The sequence below is a fragment of the Homo sapiens genome, chromosome 12 (genome assembly GCF_000001405.40).
Source record: "Homo sapiens chromosome 12, GRCh38.p14 Primary Assembly".
NCBI classification, from domain to species: Eukaryota; Metazoa; Chordata; class Mammalia; order Primates; family Hominidae; genus Homo; species Homo sapiens.
The window spans coordinates 110,164,594-110,181,787 of record NC_000012.12 but is presented as its reverse complement, the minus strand read 5'-3'; the positions used below and the strand labels follow the sequence as shown (position 1 = coordinate 110,181,787).

General features: G+C 40.6%; 1 protein-coding gene across 14 annotated transcripts in view, besides 1 other annotated feature; it reads right to left on the bottom strand.

The window, feature by feature from the left end:
- IFT81 (intraflagellar transport 81) overlaps window positions 1-17,194 on the bottom strand; it is a 94,437-nt gene that overhangs the window by 37,006 nt on the left and 40,237 nt on the right. For 10 of the 14 annotated variants that reach the window (NR_144952.2, NR_144949.2, NR_144951.2 and 7 more), the window contains one exon: window positions 1,217-1,366. Coding sequence is in view for 7 of the 14 variants with exons in the window: in XM_017019217.2 (XP_016874706.1) it covers window positions 1,217-1,366 (150 nt within the window). In the remaining 7 variants the exon portion in view is untranslated. Of the gene's footprint in view, window positions 1-1,216; window positions 1,367-12,605; window positions 13,918-17,194 lie in introns of those variants that run through there. The other 4 variants (XR_001748670.3, XR_944523.4, NM_031473.4 and 1 more) reach the window with 2 other exon arrangements.
- Window positions 8,701-9,481: an enhancer, noted in NCBI's record as "H3K27ac hESC enhancer chr12:110610112-110610892 (GRCh37/hg19 assembly coordinates)". NCBI's record gives its function as "activates a minimal SCP1, AML or CMV promoter by ChIP-STARR-seq in naive and primed H9 embryonic stem cells {active_cell/tissue: H9 hESC(naive and primed)}" and the evidence as "EXISTENCE:reporter gene assay evidence [ECO:0000049][PMID:30033119]".

The following is a 17,194-nucleotide window of genomic DNA, read 5'->3' as shown; positions in this document are numbered from 1 at the left end:
ACTTAAGAAAAAAATATGAAGCAAAAACTGATGGAACTAAAAAAAGCAACAAAGCCATAATTATAGTTAGAGATTTTTAACACACTTCTCTCAGTAACTGATGGAACAGGCAGACAAAAAATCAACAGGGATATGGAAGATGTGAATATCATGGCTAACATACTGACTGAATTGACATATTTAGAATACTATTCCCAACAACTGCAGAATATACATTCTCTTCACTGCACATGAAACAATTACCAAAACAGACCGTATGCTGGGCCATAATGCAAGACTACAAATTTCACAGGACTGAAATCAGAGTGTGCTCTCTGGTCACAATGGAAATAACCTGGAAATTCATAATAGAAAGGTAACTAGAAAAATCCCCCAAATATTGGATTTTAAGCCATGACCAAAAGGTCAAAGAAATCACAATAGAAATTAGAAGATATTTTGAAGTAAACAATAATGCAGTTACTACTATCAGTTTTAAAGTTAGTGCTGTTAGAATCCATGTTGATTCACAGTAAATTTTCAGTCTTAAGTTCCCTAAAAGCAAATAATATTCATCAGCATGAGACAGTTCATATTGCCAGTTAAAAGGAAACACAACTGGTTGAAATTCCACTTACTTCTACCAGATTATTGCTAGCTGGTAAACCAGCACCCAGATGAAAGTTTCCTCGTTGGTGAAAGAAAAAAAAAAGCCAAATGAAGGAAACCCTGAGGAACTGGCATCCACAATGAGAACAACTTTGCTGTGGGACTACTTTGGGTTTAACTTTTTTCAGACAACCAAGGCACAAACACATAAGGAATAAGCCTGGAGGCAGACTTCCACACAGCACTTCCCTGGATATTTCTTTCCAAAGCTTCTTGGAAGTGGCTGCTTAGAAATTTCTGCCCAGCAGGCCATGATAAAAAAATATTTTACAGTCACTCTCTTGGTATGATAATTTTACTCATATTAACTAACTAACCAAAAGAAAAAACCTACTTGGAATTCAAGTTTTTCTATTAATAACCCCGAAGTCAGCACACACACAAAAGCCAGTGCTTACTGCTACATTAAAAATAAATGAATCAACTTATATGTCATGTCTGTAATTAATCAGAGAAAAGTAATACTTTTATCATTTTTCCAGTAAAAACAATGACTTCAGTATAAAGCTGTAACCCATAAACCTCCTGGCATTTGTATTTATAGTAGCCCAAGATAATACTGTATTACCAGTTGTTGTTGAATATTTTCATGACGTTGCTTAAGAAGTTCTTCAGTCCTCTGCAAAAGACCGAATTCAGCTTTAAGTTCAGCTATTATCTGATGCTTCTTTTTGAAAACTGTACTCTTGCTTCGAAGTTTATTGACATATCGTTTGAACTGTAAAAAAAACACAATATGTAATCTAATGAGTAGAAAAGTAGTAGCTAAATATCATACATCTGTATAAACTCAATATATTCACATTTTTTCTTCTCTACTTCCCAACATGTCACACGTATATAATAATTTCGTTTTATTAGAAAACTTTATATAATAATTATATATTATATAATAACTTAATAATTTAGTTTTATTATAAAACTTCCCAACCCCCATCTTCCTGTCTTCATCCCTAACCAGGTTAAACTCCTGTTACTTATTTGCAGGGCCTATTCAGTTATGTGTAATGTTTGCCATCATTTTAAACTTCAGTTCAGTATTTGTTTTCCCCACTATTCCTTAAGCTTGATGAGGGCAGGACCTGCAAGTATCTTGCTCTAAGCAACTCTACGTTGTATCCTCTGTGTCTGGCACAGTGCCTAATACATAACAGATAATAAATAGTACTTACCAAATGAATTCCTTTATTTATTTATTTGTTTGAGACCAAATCTCACTCTGTCACCCACAATGTTTAAATATTTTGTGTTTTTAATTTTTTGACCCATTATATGTACATATATTATATATATATATTATGTGTATATGTTTAATATATGTATACATATAAAATGTGTGTGTGTGTGTGTGTGTGTGTGTGTGTGTATATATATATATATATATATATATATATATATATATATATATATATATAATTTCGAGATAGGGTTTGCTCTGTTGCCCAGGCTGGAGTGCAGTGGTGTGATAACAGTTCATTGCAGCCTTAACCTCCTGGGATCAAGCAATTCTCCTGCCTCAGCCTCCAGAGTAGGAGGACCACAGGTGCAGAGCACCACGCCTGGCTAATTTTTGCATTTTTTGTAAAGATGGGGTTTCCCTATGTTGCCCAGGCTGGTTTTGAACTCCTCAGCTCAAGTGATTCACCCGCCTTGGCCTCCCAAAGTGCTGGGATTACAGGCATGAGTCACCGTGCCTGGCCTTAAAATATTCTAAATCCTTATATAAAAGCTATTCATTTTAGACTTTACAAATAAGGATTAGGAAAACAGAAAGACAACCTTATAAAAATAAAAAGGTCAAAAAAGAAGAAAAAGTAGGAGATTAATGACCACAATTCTGGTTGTGGTTTTATCATGGTATATCTCATGTACTGTACTATTTTGGTAGCAGTCCATTGGACTACTGGGACTAATATAGCCAACCGGAACCATCAACACTTGTAGCTACTATTTATCACTTAAGAAATGTACTGTGACTATATATTGCTATCAAGCATCTGAGACACTGGGATGGTACCCATCGAAATGTTAAAAAGCTAAGAATATCCCAAGTTAGTGAAGACTCATAGCTATCTAATTTATCTATTTACCTACCCATCATATCAAAGTTATAACTAATAATGGAAAAAAGTTACAACTCTAATGGAAAGACCCCATTATTAAGTAATACCAACTAGAGTTTGGAAGAGCAAACAAAGTAGCATAATATTTAAAGGAATTCAAGGCTGGATGTGGTGGCTCACGCCTATAATCCTAACACTTTGGGAGGCCAAGACAGTTAGATCACTTGAGGTTAGGAGTTCCAAACCAGCCTGGCCAACATGGTGAAACCCCATCTCTACTAAAAATACAAAAAATTAGCCGGGCGTAGTGGCATGTGCCTGTAGTCCCAGCTACTCAGGAGGCTGAGGCAGGAGAATTGCTTGAACCCGGGAGGCGGAGGTTGCAGTGAGCCGAGATCACGCCACTGCACTCCAGCCTGGGCGACAGAGTGAGACTCCATCTCAAAAAAAAAAAAGAATCTTAGCCTTTTTAATGTCCAGTGCTTCTTAAAGCTAATTTTGGGGGATAGTTAATAAATAATTTTATAAATAATAAAAGTAATGAACATATTGTTGAAATTTTGGAAAACAGAAAAAAGGAAAAGTTCACTCAAAGCCACTATCTCAACACAAGCTCTATTACCATATTGGTATTTTTCTTTCTTTCTTTTTTTTTTTTTTTTGAGATGGAGTCTTGCTCTTGTCTCTAAGGCTGGAGTGCAGCCGCACAATCTCCCCTCACTGCAACCTCCACCTCACAGGTTCAAGCAAATCTCCTGCCTCAGCCTCCCAAGTAGCTGGGATTACAGGTGCCTGCTACCATGCCAGGCTAATTTTTGTATTTTTAGTAGAGACGGGGTTTCACCATGTTGGCCAGGCTGGTCTTGAACTCCTGACGTCAGGTCATCTGCCCACCTTGGCCTCCCAAAGTGCTGGGATTACAGGCATGAGCAACTGTGCCCAGCCCACATTGATATTTTTCCTTCCAATTTTTTTTTTCTTTGAGACAGAGTCTCGCTCTGTCACCTAGGCTGGAGTACAGTGGCGCAATCTTGGCTCACTGCAGCCTCTGCCTCCAGGGTTCTAGCAATTTTCCTGCCTCGGCCTCCCGGGTAGCTGGGATTACAGGCACACGCCACCATGCCTGGCTAATTTTTGTATTTTTAGTAGAGATGGGGTTTCACCATGTTGGCCAGGCTGGTCTTGAACTCCTGACCTCAGGTGATCCGCCCACCTTGGCCTCCCAAAGTGCTAGGATTACAGGCATGAGCCACTGCGCCCGGCTTTTCCTTCCAATTTTGAAAGCAAATTCTAAGGTTAATAATTCTAAATTATAAAGTAGTGAAATAGAAAGTACACCATCTCTAAAATTTAATTTTTTTCTAAAATACTTGATTCCTGAGTATACAAAAATTCCTTTAAAATACTAAGATTAAAAATTCTTCACGTTAAAATAAACTTCCAATTCCTAGTTTAGACATCTTTTAAAATTTGACTTAAACTTTGAAAGAGCTGGTCAGGTGCGGTGGCTCATACCTGTAATCCTAGCACTTTGGGAGGCTGAGGTGGGGGGACTGCGTGAGCTCAGGAGTTTGAGACCAGCCTGGCCAGTATGGCCAAACTCCGTCCCTACTAAAAATACAAAAAATAAGCTGGGCGTGGTGGTGTGTGCCCGTAATCCCAGCTACTAGGGAGGCTGAGGCATGAGAATTGCTTGAACCTGGGAAGCAGAGGTTGCAGTGAGCCGAGATTGTGCCACTGCACTCCAGCCTGAGCGACAGAGCGAGATTCTGTCTCAAACAAAACAAAACAAAACAAAACAAAACAAAAAAACAAACTTTGAAAGAACTGAGGAACACACTGTGTTTTAGAAGAAGAAAGTTTAAAATATTTTTCTATCCATGATTAGGTTAGTTTTAATATTAAGGAATCCAGCCCTCACACCACAAATTTTCAATGACTGCGTTACAGAAACTTCTTTAAAAATTAAAAATTTAAGTCATACTAATGTACCTGAAGTCTAATAACTTGCAAATTTTCCTTTTAAAGAATAAATGTGTAAGCCTGACATAACCACAGATTCAGAATCCCTAGAGTAACTATATATGCTATTAAAAGTGTCCTGGGCAAAGTGCCCAAAATGAAATCAACCCTGTTCATCTGCTATCCTCTGTAATATAGAGGCCAATTTTCCCCTTCTCTATCTTGCTGTACTCCAGAACTATTTTTAAAAGCTGAAAGCTATAAATGTTTTTGATGAAAGAACAAACCTACAAATTACTGAGTGTGTTCTATGCTGATTGGTTATTATTTGATATTCATTATATATAATAACTAATGGAAGAGTAGTCTGGGTCAGATCAATCACAGTTACATACGATTAAGCAATAGGTGGCCATCAAAGCATTCTAAGGGCTCTACTATTCCAGAATTAATTAGAAAAAAGAAAACACATTATCAATGTTTTTTCTTCCATTGGTGGTTTCTTTTAATTATCATTTGGATTTTAGGTTATTTTTGGATCTTCAATGTCATACAAAAAACAAAACTGATGAACACATTGAAGCTAAATCTTCAGACTTATAAAACACAAGTACTCATTCCATTAGCGGCCAGAGCAATGGCCTGATCATTTGTGAAGCCTCTGGTAAACTCTGCTGTACACTCAGATGAGAATAAGAGTAAAAATTGCCCTCCTTTTCCCTTCCATTCCTGGTTTACAGGGGTCAAAATGGTAGCTGGAGAGGTAGGCAGTAAATAGAGAGCTGCATGGAGGTGCCAGTAAGGTTGCATAGAGGCATGGCGGGGTACAGGGTCCGGAGGTCAAAGATACTGGGAAATGAGGGGGCTTGGGAAGTTGTATCAGAAGTGTGGACCAGGAGGCTGGTGACTGGGGACACAGGGTAGTAGGGGGAGTTAATGGAGGTACAGGTCAACAGGCTGAATGGCCAAGGATATGCAATGATGGGATTAGGGGCTGAGGAAACACACAGAGACATAGGCTAGCAGGCCTGGCAGCTGAGGACACAGAGGGGTGAGTGAGGAGTCGTGGAAACATAGACACAGAGGGTGAAAATGTGGTTGGTGGGATGGGGACACAGGATTGGTGTGTAAAGAAGGAGGCTGGAGTAGTTGATAGATTATTTAAATTGAGCAAACAAGCAAGTTTATTGATTGAGCAAATAAATAAATGCAATATAGAAAAAGGGAGCCAAATTTCTCAATGCCAGAGAAGATACTGGGCAACAGAGACAGACTCTGTCTAAAAATAAATAAATAAATAAATAAAACAATGAGATACCATTTTCACACCTACCCAACTGGCAAAAATAAAAAATCTTTCAATACCAAGTGTTGGTGATGATGTGGAGGAAGTAGAGAGGGAGATATATAATTTAGAGCAATGGTCTGGAAAACAACTTGGCTTGTCTACTGAAGCAGACACTATACATATTCTATGGCTCACCAACTCCACTTTTACAAGTAGCAGGACTTTTCAAACTATCTGTTAAAGGACGAGTTTTTTAAAAAATTTCTAAACATATGTGCATCAGATACTTTTGTAAAATAACGAAAATACCGAGATCAAATGACTATAAGGGTTTCTAAATGTTTCCTCTCAATTTATATGGCTGCAGATTAGAAGAAACTAACAGTCTCTGGACTGAAACTAGTCTTCAGACCACACTTTGAGTAGCACTGCTCCAGAGCAGACCTTCCTAAATGGGGTATGCTCTGGTACATGCACGTGCCACAAATATTGTGAGTGTGCCAAAATATTAATCCACTCAGCCTTTGCAGTAGCTGGGCAAGATATTATAAAGAACTCTCAGCCAGTCACCTTTAGCTATAAAGGAAAAAAATAATTTTTAAAGGCATAGGAGGTAAGCAACAAATCCTTAGAACATTAAGGAAAAAGCTTCCCATAGTGTATCATAACAGGTAAACCAAATGAATTTGTCAGTAAAGTAAACTACAAAGCTTGCTACTGGGCAGGGAAGCCCATTATAGCAGCTATTACTAATCATTTGTACCCATATACATTTGTAATCTAAATTAGTCTTCTATGAAAGAGCAGCTATCATTTTAGATGCTGAGATCAAATAAGATTAATACTTTATGGTTTATGCTAGCAGGTGCTGAGAGAGTACTCAGTTGTGTGAAACTCTAATCTTTATCTCTGCGTGCATTTGGGTTTTGTAATGGACTAATGCTTTATAGTGCTAGCTTCTGGCTTCAGGACCAATTTTAAAGACTCGGCTCCCCTGTGATCAAAATGGAAATTGACAGATGTTCTTTTTCCTTTTGTGTATTTAGTATGTTTTACAACCTTTAAGAGTAATGATCAGAATCTGGGCTAGCTTTTGTAATGGATAGGCAGTTTATTTCTCTAAGAATGTAACCATTTATAAATGCTTTTCGCTTATCAGGAACTCAAAAGAATTATTGGATTCCAGGCATCATTCTAGATATTTATGTGAAACAAGAATTACTGCTCCTGCTGCAAATTTTCTCCCTCAATATCTGGCATGAAAATGATTTTCAAAGTAATTAGCTGTGAAGACTTGACAAGACTATCATATAATAAGCACTTTACATTGTTTAAGAAACACAAAGCCATTTTTTTTTTTTTTTTTTTTCTGAGACGGAGTCTTGCTCTTGTCTCCCAGGCTGGAATGCAATGGTGCAATCTCGGGTCACTGCAACCTCCGCCTCCCAGGTTCAAGCAATTCTCTGGCCTCAGCCTCCTAAGTAGCTGGGATTACAGGCACACCACCACACCCGGCTAATTTTTTTTTTTTTTTTTTTTTTTTTTTTTTGAGACGGAGTCTTGCTCTGTCGCCCAGGCTGGAGTGCAGTGGCGCGATCTTGGCTCACTGCAAGCCCCGCCTCCCGGGTTCACGCCATTCTCCTGCCTCAGCCTCCCGAGTAGCTGGGACTATAGGCGTCCGCCACCATGCCTGGCTAATTTTTTTGTATTTTTAGTAGAGATGGGGTTTCACTGTGTTAGCCAGGATGGTCTCGATCTCCTGACCTCATGATCCACCCGCCTCAGTCTCCCAAAGTGCTGGGATTACAGGCGTGAGCCACCGTGCCCGGCCTAATTTTTCTTTTTTTTTCTTTCTTTTTTTTTTTATTGATCATTCTTGGGTGTTTCTCACAGAGGGGGATTTGGCAGGGTCATAGGACAATAGTGGAGGGAAGGTCAGCAGATAAACAAGTGAACAAAGGTCTCTGGTTTTCCTAGGCAGAGGACCCTGAGGCCTTCCGCAGTGTTTGTGTCCCTGGGTACTTGAGATTAGGGAGTGGTGATGACTCTTAACCAGCATGCTGCCTTCAAGCATCTGTTTAACAAAGCACATCTTGCACTGCCCTTAATCCATTTAACCCTGAGTGGACACAGCACATGTTTCAGAGAGCACAGGGTTGGGGGATAAGGTCACAGATCAACAGGATCCCAAGGCAGAAGAATTTTTCTTAGTACAGAACAAAATGAAAAGTCTCCCATGTCTACTTCTTTCCACACAGACACGGCAACCATCCTATTTCTCAATCTTTTCCCCACCTTTCCCCGCTTTCTATTCCACAAAACCACCATTGTCATCATGGCCTGTTCTCAATGAGCTGTTGGGCACACCTCCCAGACGGGATGGTGGCCGGGCAGAGGGGCTCCTCACTTCCCAGTAGGGGCGGCCGGGCAGAGGCGCCCCTCACCTCCCGGACGAGGCGGCTGGCCGGGCGGGGGGCTGACCCCCCCACCTCCCTCCCGGACGGGGTGGCTGGCCGGGCAGAGAGGCTCCTCACTTCCCAGTAGGGGCGGCCGGGCAGAGGCGCCCCTCACCTCCCGGACGGGGCGGCTGGCCGGGTGGGGGGCTGAACCCCCACCTCCCTCCCGGACGGGGCGGCTGGCTGGGCGGGGGGCTGACCCCCCCACCTCCCTCCTGGACGGGGCGGCTGGCCGGGCGGGGGGCTGACCCCCCCACCTCCCTCCCGGATGGGGCGGCTGGTCGGGCAGAGGGGCTCCTCACTTCCCAGTAGGGGCAGCTGGGCAGAGGCGCCCCTCACCTCCTGGACGGGGCGGCTGGCCGGGTGGGGGGCTGACCCCCCCACCTCCCTCCTGGACAGGGCGGCTGGCCTGGCGGGGGCTGACCCCCACCTCCCTCCCGGACGGGGCGGCTGCCGGGCGGAGACGCTCCTCACTTTCCAGACTGGGCAGCCAGGCAGAGGGGCTCCTCACATCCCAGACGATGGGCGGCCAGGCAGAGACGCTCCTCACTTCCTAGACGGGGTGGCGGCCGGGCAGAGGCTGCACTCTGGGCACTTTGGGAGGCCAAGGCAGGCGGCTGGGGGGTGGAGGTTGTAGCGACACGAGATCACGCCACTGCACTCCAGCCTGGGCACCATTGAGCACTGAGTGAACCAGACACCATCTGCAATCCCGGCACCTCCGGAGGCCGAGGCTGGCGGATCACTCGCGGTTAGGAGCTGGAGACCAGCCCGGCCAACACAGCGAAACCCTGTCTCCACCAAAAAAATACGAAAACCAGTCAGGCGTGGCGGCGCGCGCCTGCAATTGCAGGCACTCGGCAGGCTGAGGCAGGAGAATCAGGCAGGGAGGTTGCAGTGAGCCGAGATGGCAGCAGTACAGTCCAGCTTCAGCTCGGCATCAGAGGGAGACCGTGGAAAGAGAGGGAGAGGGAGACCGTGGGGAGAGGGAGACCGTGGGGAGAGGGAGACCATGGGGAGAGGCAGAGGCAGAGGCAGAGGAGGCAGAGGAGGCAGAGGAGGCAGAGGCAGAGGCAGAGGCAGAGGCAAATTTTTCTATTTTTAGTGGAGACAGGGTTTCATCACGTTGGCCAGGCTGGTCTAGAACGCCTGACCTCAGGTGATCCTCCTGCCTCGGCCTCCCAAAGTGCTGGGATTACAGGCCTGAGCCACCACGTCTGGCCAGAACCATTTTTTAAAATAAAAAAGCACTAGGAAACCTACAGAGAAATTAATACTACTTACCAAAGTTCAGTAAGTTAGAAAAAATAACTAGAATGAACACTTTTGTCTTCAAATCCTGCTAGTCCAACATCCATGCTATTTTCCATTTCTTAATTAAATCACATCTTTGTCAGTTATTTCATCAAACGATGTATAAGCATAGACAACTACAGGAATTGGCCCAAGGGAGTTAGGCACGAGATGAGATAGAACCAACTGTTTAGGAGTGGCATGAATATACACAAAGCCCACAGTCTTTCTGCTCATTTGTCAGTGTCTTGTGCTCTAGACAGAACTTCAGACTTGAAGAAAACCTGAAAAGGCCATCATGTCACGCTCCAATAAATTATTTGGATTCCCTGAAGTCTGGTCTCAGAGTTGCTCTTTGTTTTAAGGCAAGAGAAAATGTTCAAAGCAGCCTTTGTTATTTGCTAAAATGACAGTCTTTTAAAATCACGCATCATAACTAGTCCCACATAAATACACATAAAAATACTATTCTAACCTTTTCTAACCTGTTAGTGGCACATTTTCAACTGTAAATTAGAAAATCTCACCAAGTCAAGCATAAGCAATGTAATTATCTACATATGGTAGTGGCTAGTTAACTGCTCAGTCTTTTAAGAGAGTCTGTAATAATCGATATGATATATGCGGGTAGAAATCTGTATTAAATGAAATTTGTGACACAGGAACATCCATCTGTGGAACACAGTTAATCACACCATCCAAGGTCTCTGTGCTTCTATTATAAATCAAATCACCACCACACAGCTGTTACTATCTCTAACGGGTGCTTCCACTGCTGTCCAAGCAGTTAATTCTCCAGAAAAAAAAAAAAAATCCATGAAAACTTTTAAAATTTGGGGTTAAAAGTGTGGCATTACCTAGACTGCATGCATAATACACTACACTTCTATTACAGTGAACTGAGCCAAATTTATTTGATTCTGTTTTGTTCTTTCTCTTGGGAAATTTTAGGGGCCTCAGGTCCTGCTATGAACTCTAAAGAGTACAATGTGATTTGAAAGGTTCTAAAAATATCACAGGTTTGCCTAGGCTCACTTAGAAGGGTGGATGATTCAATTACAAGTGTCAAAATTTGATTCCTAATTTTTCAGGACCTGACAGCTGCAGCACATCTTGCCAGGATTCCCTTATCTTCATTGTGCTTCTCTTTGAAGTATTTAAAGAAGATTTCATAATCTTTCCAATTTAGCTCTAAGATTTGTCAGTAGCTGTAGAATGAATTGGCTGGCCCTTTCTAAAGCTGCTTATAAATATTATTTGACCAAGCATATTTTAAAAGTAGCTGTAACTACAAAACAGCTGAGCTTCTTGTGATGGTCAGGGGAGAAAACACAATGGACTATAATACTCCCATACACCATAAACCAAGGATGACCTTTCATTGCATGAGTTCCAGTGGAACCTTAACTGGAGGTACATTTATTGCTATAAAAAAAATTCAGATCCCAAAGGCATGCATTCATCTGAATGACCACTCTGGGAAGGGTACTAGTACTGCATATCATTGGGACTGATTTTTTGTTTGCTCTTTCAAATTATGAAAGCAGAGAATCAGAGAGATCAAGGTGACTAAGATGGTAAAATCACTAGCTACTGGCACTACTTACAAGAGGCACATGTTCTATTCTTCGTCCTTCCAGTAAATGAGAGAAAGTCTTCAAGCTGAGATTGCTGCCTATGAAACAGCAAAAATCACGCCAAAAGAGGTAGCTGAAGGCTACCAGATTAAATGGCAAATTTAAGTTTCTCACCAGGTATTTAAAAAATAATACAGGCATGAACCACAATGCCTGGCATAATCAGATTTTTTAAGATTAAAAAACCTGGCCAGGCACAGTGGCTTACGCCTGTAATCCCAGCACTTTGGGAGGCTAAGGCGGGTGGATCATGAGGTCAGGAGATTGAGACCATCCTGGCTAACATGGTGAAACCCCATCTCTACTAAAAATACAAAAAAATTAGCCGGGCATGGTGGCGGGCACCTGTAGTCCCAGCTACTCGGGAGGCTGAGGCAGGAGAATGGCGTGAACCCGGGAGGCAGAGCTTGCAGTGAGCCAAGATCGCACCACTGCACTCCAGCCTGGGCAACAGAGCAAGACTCCATCTCAAAAAATAAATAAATAAAATAAATAAAGATTAAAAAACCCAACCCAAAATACAGATCCAATGTTCTTCTACTTAGTGCACACATTACTTCAAAAATGTCCCTTATCTGGGCTGGGTGAGGTGGCTCAAGCCTGTGATCCCAGCACTTTGGGAAGCCGAGGTGGGCGGATCACTTGAGGTCAGGAGTTCAAGCCCAGCCTGGCTAACATGGTGAAACTCCGTCTGTACTAAAAATACAAAAATTAGTCGGGCATGGTGGTGGGCACCTGCAATCCCAGCCACCTGGGAGGCTGAGGCATGAGAATCGCTTGAACCCGGGAGGCGGAGGTTGCAGTGGGTTGAGATCATGTCAGTGCACTCCAGCCTGAGTGACAGAGTGAGACTGTCAGGCTGCTCCATTACTGAAGAAAGCTCAAGTGGTAGACATTTTTCTCTGAAGTCAATCAAATATTTCATTCTAATCACCATTCATTGGTCCTAATTTGGCTTTCTCATAAACAAAAAAAATAACACTAATCCATCTGTGTCAGGGGTCCCCAAGACCATCTCTAGATTCAGTGATTCACTGGGAGAACTCAAAGTATACAGTCATACTCTTAGCTATGATTTATTACACTGAATACCAAGCAAAATCGCAGAGGGAAAAGGCACATGGGGTGAAATTTGGAGGAAACCAGGTGCAAACTTCTAAAAGTTGTCTCCCACTGCAGTCACAGAGGGCATAATTAATTCCTCCAGTGATGAGTTATAACAACACGCATGAAATGATCAGGGAGGCTCATTAGAGACTTAGTTCTCAAGGTTTTTACTAGGAGCTGATCATCTAGGCACATTCTGCCTAGCCTGTACCAAAATTCCAGAAAGAAGAAAGAAAGAAAGAGAGAGAGAGAGGAAGGAAGGAAGGAAGGAAGGAAGGAAGGAAGGAAGGAAGGAAGGAAGGAAGGAAGGGAGGAAGGAAAAGAAAGAAAGACAAAGAAAGAGGCAAGCAAGCAGGAGCTCGACATAAAGCACACTCTTCATATACTTTAGGCAAGGTGAGCCATTCTTATCAGTGAATGGCAGGAATCCATCCAAGAACCAAGTTCCCCCAGATGCCAGCCAAGGGCCAACTTTGCAAGCAGACCTTTCTAGGGATAGCAGTCTCAGGCCTGCATGTTAATTTTTTTCTGAACACCATCTTTTCCATAATCCTTTAACTATTTATTATGTCTTTCTTCAGTCTTTTATTCCTCAGTTAATACATAATCAATTCCCACTGTGTCTTTCTCTAGTCTTTTGTTTCAGTTAATACATAATCAATTATTGATATGAAAGTTTCCAGACTTTTTGTCCATTTTAGTCACCCTCATGTGGGACTCTGGCATGATTGTCTCTTAAAACATGAAGTCAAAAATATAAAATAATACTCCAGGCATAATCAGACCATAAACAGGATACTTTTTAAAAAAATTAATGTAGTATAATCGTTTATGCATTTTTTAAAGCTGCGTTAGTAACAGATGATGTGTTGAATTGGCAAACAAAACTTGAATTCTACCACATTATATTTATTATAATCCCATTAATGGCATTTTGTTTAAGCACAGTGCCCCTATCTACCAAGATGATTCTGAATTATAATTCCATCATGTGTTTCAGGTTGACTATTTCTTCCAGCTTTCTGTCATGTGCAAACTATTGATGACTCTACAGCCAGACTGCTAAATCCAACTCCTGGTTCTACTACTTACTAGCAATGGGGTGTCAGGCAAGTCAGCTTAAAACCTCTGCATGTCTCAGATCCTTTATCTGTAAAAACTGGGTATAGTAATTACAGCCAGGCGCAGGCTCACGCCTGTAATCCTAACACTTCAGGAGGCCGAAGTGGGAGGACTGCTTGAGGCCGGGAGTTTAAGACCAGCCTGGGAAACATAGTGAGACCACATCTCTACAAAACAAAACAAAAAAAGAAAATTAGCTGGGCATGGTGGCTCGTGCCTGTAGTCCGAGCTTCTCAGGAGGCTGAGGTAGGAGGATCACTTGAGCCTAGGAGTTTCAGGCTGCAGTAAGCCATGATCACACCACCGCACTCCAGCCTGGGTGACAGAGTGAGATCCTGTCTCTGGGGAAAAAAAAAAAAAAAAAGAAACCTAAATAAAAAAAAATTGTACTTACAGAGTCGTACAATGACAAAAATGAGAATAATGTATATAAGAAGCCTAGTATGATATATGGCACGTTGTAATTGCCTAATTAAAAAATTATTATTTATCTAAAGTATTGATAATAATAAACAAATCAGGATAAAGGGCAAATCTCCATGGCATTTTTTGTGTGTACATTTCCTCAGAGATGACAGCAATCAAAATATTTTGAGACTATCAATTCAACCAGATTTATATTAAGATATACTTAAAATTCAATATAAAAACCTTTGAGATATAAAAACAGTAAAATATTCATTACTATTTATTTTCAGTTATGTTAGCAGGGTGTAATCTCTAAACTAAATGTAGTCATTTAATAGAGTGTAGTTTCTATCATCTTTCAAATACTGGTATGAAGGGAAAGAAATCAAGATTGACTGGATGGGTAGGAAAATGTATCTTTTATCACTGAGAAGATCATTTCAACTGTTCAAGCAATTCCTACTTATGTCAGAACTCTGGCAGATAAGAGAAAAATACATGCCTGTGCTTATTCCTGTGTACTGCCTTACTTTATGAAAATAAAATGTTAAAATGATAAAGTACAATGGGGGGGAAGTACTTCCAGAAACTTCGTCTTTTACTAATAAGGAAAACCAATGAAATACCAATAAAAAGGCCTAGTAAAGAAAAAAATATCTGTAGCATCTGCAATCAGAAGAGCTAAAACTCTTAGACAGTATGTAACATCTGGAACATTAACTTTAATGGCAGTAGGAAGCATCAAAATGTATACTTCACCACCAAACTAAAAACTGCTAATGGACCTCTAAAAAGAAAATGACTAAAGAATATAAATCACTGTATATGTCTAGAACTTGTTACATTTACGCAAATTAACATTATGTTCCTAAATTTTTCCAAGATAAGATCAATCAAATAACTACATATCGACAATCAAGGAATAAAGTTTTACATCCAAACAAATGGCTGTCATATAATTTCTGGCAAATATACACTTCCCAATTAATGATTGTTCACAGTGTAGTCCTCTTTAGAGTCAAATATGATTCCTAAAATTTACCCATTCTAATAGTGCCATCTCCAAGGCACTATAGGAATGGGTAAATTTTAGGAATCATATTTGATGGCAATAAAATATTGCCATTAGGATGGCAATAGTCTCTTACATGCTAACTGTGTAACTTTGGGAAAATTATTTCAATTTCTCTGTTTCTTAAGTTACAAAATGGAGGTAATATTTACTTCAGAGGCTTTCTGAGAGGATGAATTAGGGTATATTGTGAGATAACATAAAATTTACCACTTTTACCATTTTTAAGTATACAGTTCTGTGGCTTTAAGTACATTCATGTTGCTGTTGTATAACCATTACTAAAGCTATATTTTTTAAGTGCTCAAGACTGAGCATGCAGTAACTGCTCAGAGAATGGCAGCTAGAATTATTCTCATTAATGCTATCTTATTCCATTTTAAATTTGTGTAAATTATTTATTCCTAAACAGAAACTATTTCATATTTATTTCCACTAAATTGCTCCCAGTCTGGGAAATACTAGTTTCAACTTTTAAGCTGTGAACTATATTTCTAGCTTTCAAATTCTTCATCCAAGTGATTGACAAAAATATACAAATACTAAGAACTAACACACAGCATTTACTATGTGCCTAGTGCTGTTCTAAGCATGTTCAATTAATCCTCAAAATAATTCTAGGAGTTACATACTACAAACATTCACATTTTACAGCTGAGTATAAAGAGGGTAAGGAACTCGTCCAAGGTCATCCAGCTGGTAAACGGCAAAACCAGGATTTGCACTCAAACAACCAAGTTCTAGAGCCACTCTTAACCACTCCACCATGCTGCCTCTGACACACATAGTTAACATACCACCCATGCAAATGATTACTTTCAGATGCCAGGTGTTATATGTTGACTGAGCCTTTGAGTTTCTCAGAAGCTTTAGCACCTATTATTTCATGTGCCTTTCCTAGAGATAATAAAGAGCAATCAGCCCCATTTTACAGATAGAGAAGCCTCAGGGAGGTCGAGTAATTTCTTCAAGGTCAACAGATCTTAGAGAGGTCCTGGGTCTTAGCTTGGCCACTTACTAGCTGTGTGAAACTGCAATCTCCTCGAGCATCACTCAACTGTGACAGGGAAATGGTAACAACACCTTTTACAAGAAGTAAAAAAGTATCTATTTGCAAAGTACCTGGAACAGAGCTTTGTATAAAAAGTGCTCAATAAATGTGAGTCCCCCTTTCCTCATTTTGCATGTGATTCCTGGCATAGTGTTCTTTCCAAACACCATGCCACTAATTATCAATACCTTCTCACCAACTGTTTAACAGATGGGGGGCAAAGGACATGATTTTTTGGAGATTACTATGTGATATCAAACCAGAAACCTCAGTGAACCATGTGATACTAAATCAGGCACCTCAGTGAATTATACCTCCAGCTGTATTATATAATTTTAAATATAAGAAACTTCTTCTCTTTTGTCCATATGGCCTATCACTTTATCATAGTAGAAAATAAAACTGGTATACCAAGATTTGTTCTTTATAAAATTATGCTTAATGTTCCCCGATACCTTCTGTTCTTTTAGGTAACTGCCAAATACCTTACTTGATTTGTTCTTTTCCGACCAGACATTGTTCAAAAATTAAGTTATCATTTCCAAATGATGACATCTTTTTCCCCTTAAAAAAAAAGACTGCTTTTTTTTTTCCCTGTCATTGGATCCGTCTCCTATTCACCATGATTTCTCAAAAATAAAGGCTAATAACCTGGCACTAGGTTTTTTCCCTCACATTTGCATAGAGGGAACATCTAACACTGAATTGTAAGTACTATTTATGCCAAATACGGCCATAACAATTAGTATTTCCTGTGATTTAGGCAGCATTTTCTTAAGAAAAGATAAAAATGCTAGGAGGTGGCATAGTCTCTTGTAAAGCGAAACTGCTGCATAATTGATCTTTTATTTTTTTCTCTAGACAGCAAAGATGTCATGAAGCATACACTGTTGACTTCCAGATATCATTTAAAACACTCCCATGTCTTAAACCAATTTGGAAGTGGATGTTAAAAGCCAAGGGAATTTTTCAATCACATGTTGACTTCCTGAATCTACTACTTCCCCAGCAAGCTAAAAGGCACATTGGGAGGGTACAACCTGAAGTACCACAGAGAAAAGTGGTACTATGGGAGCAATTCATTTGT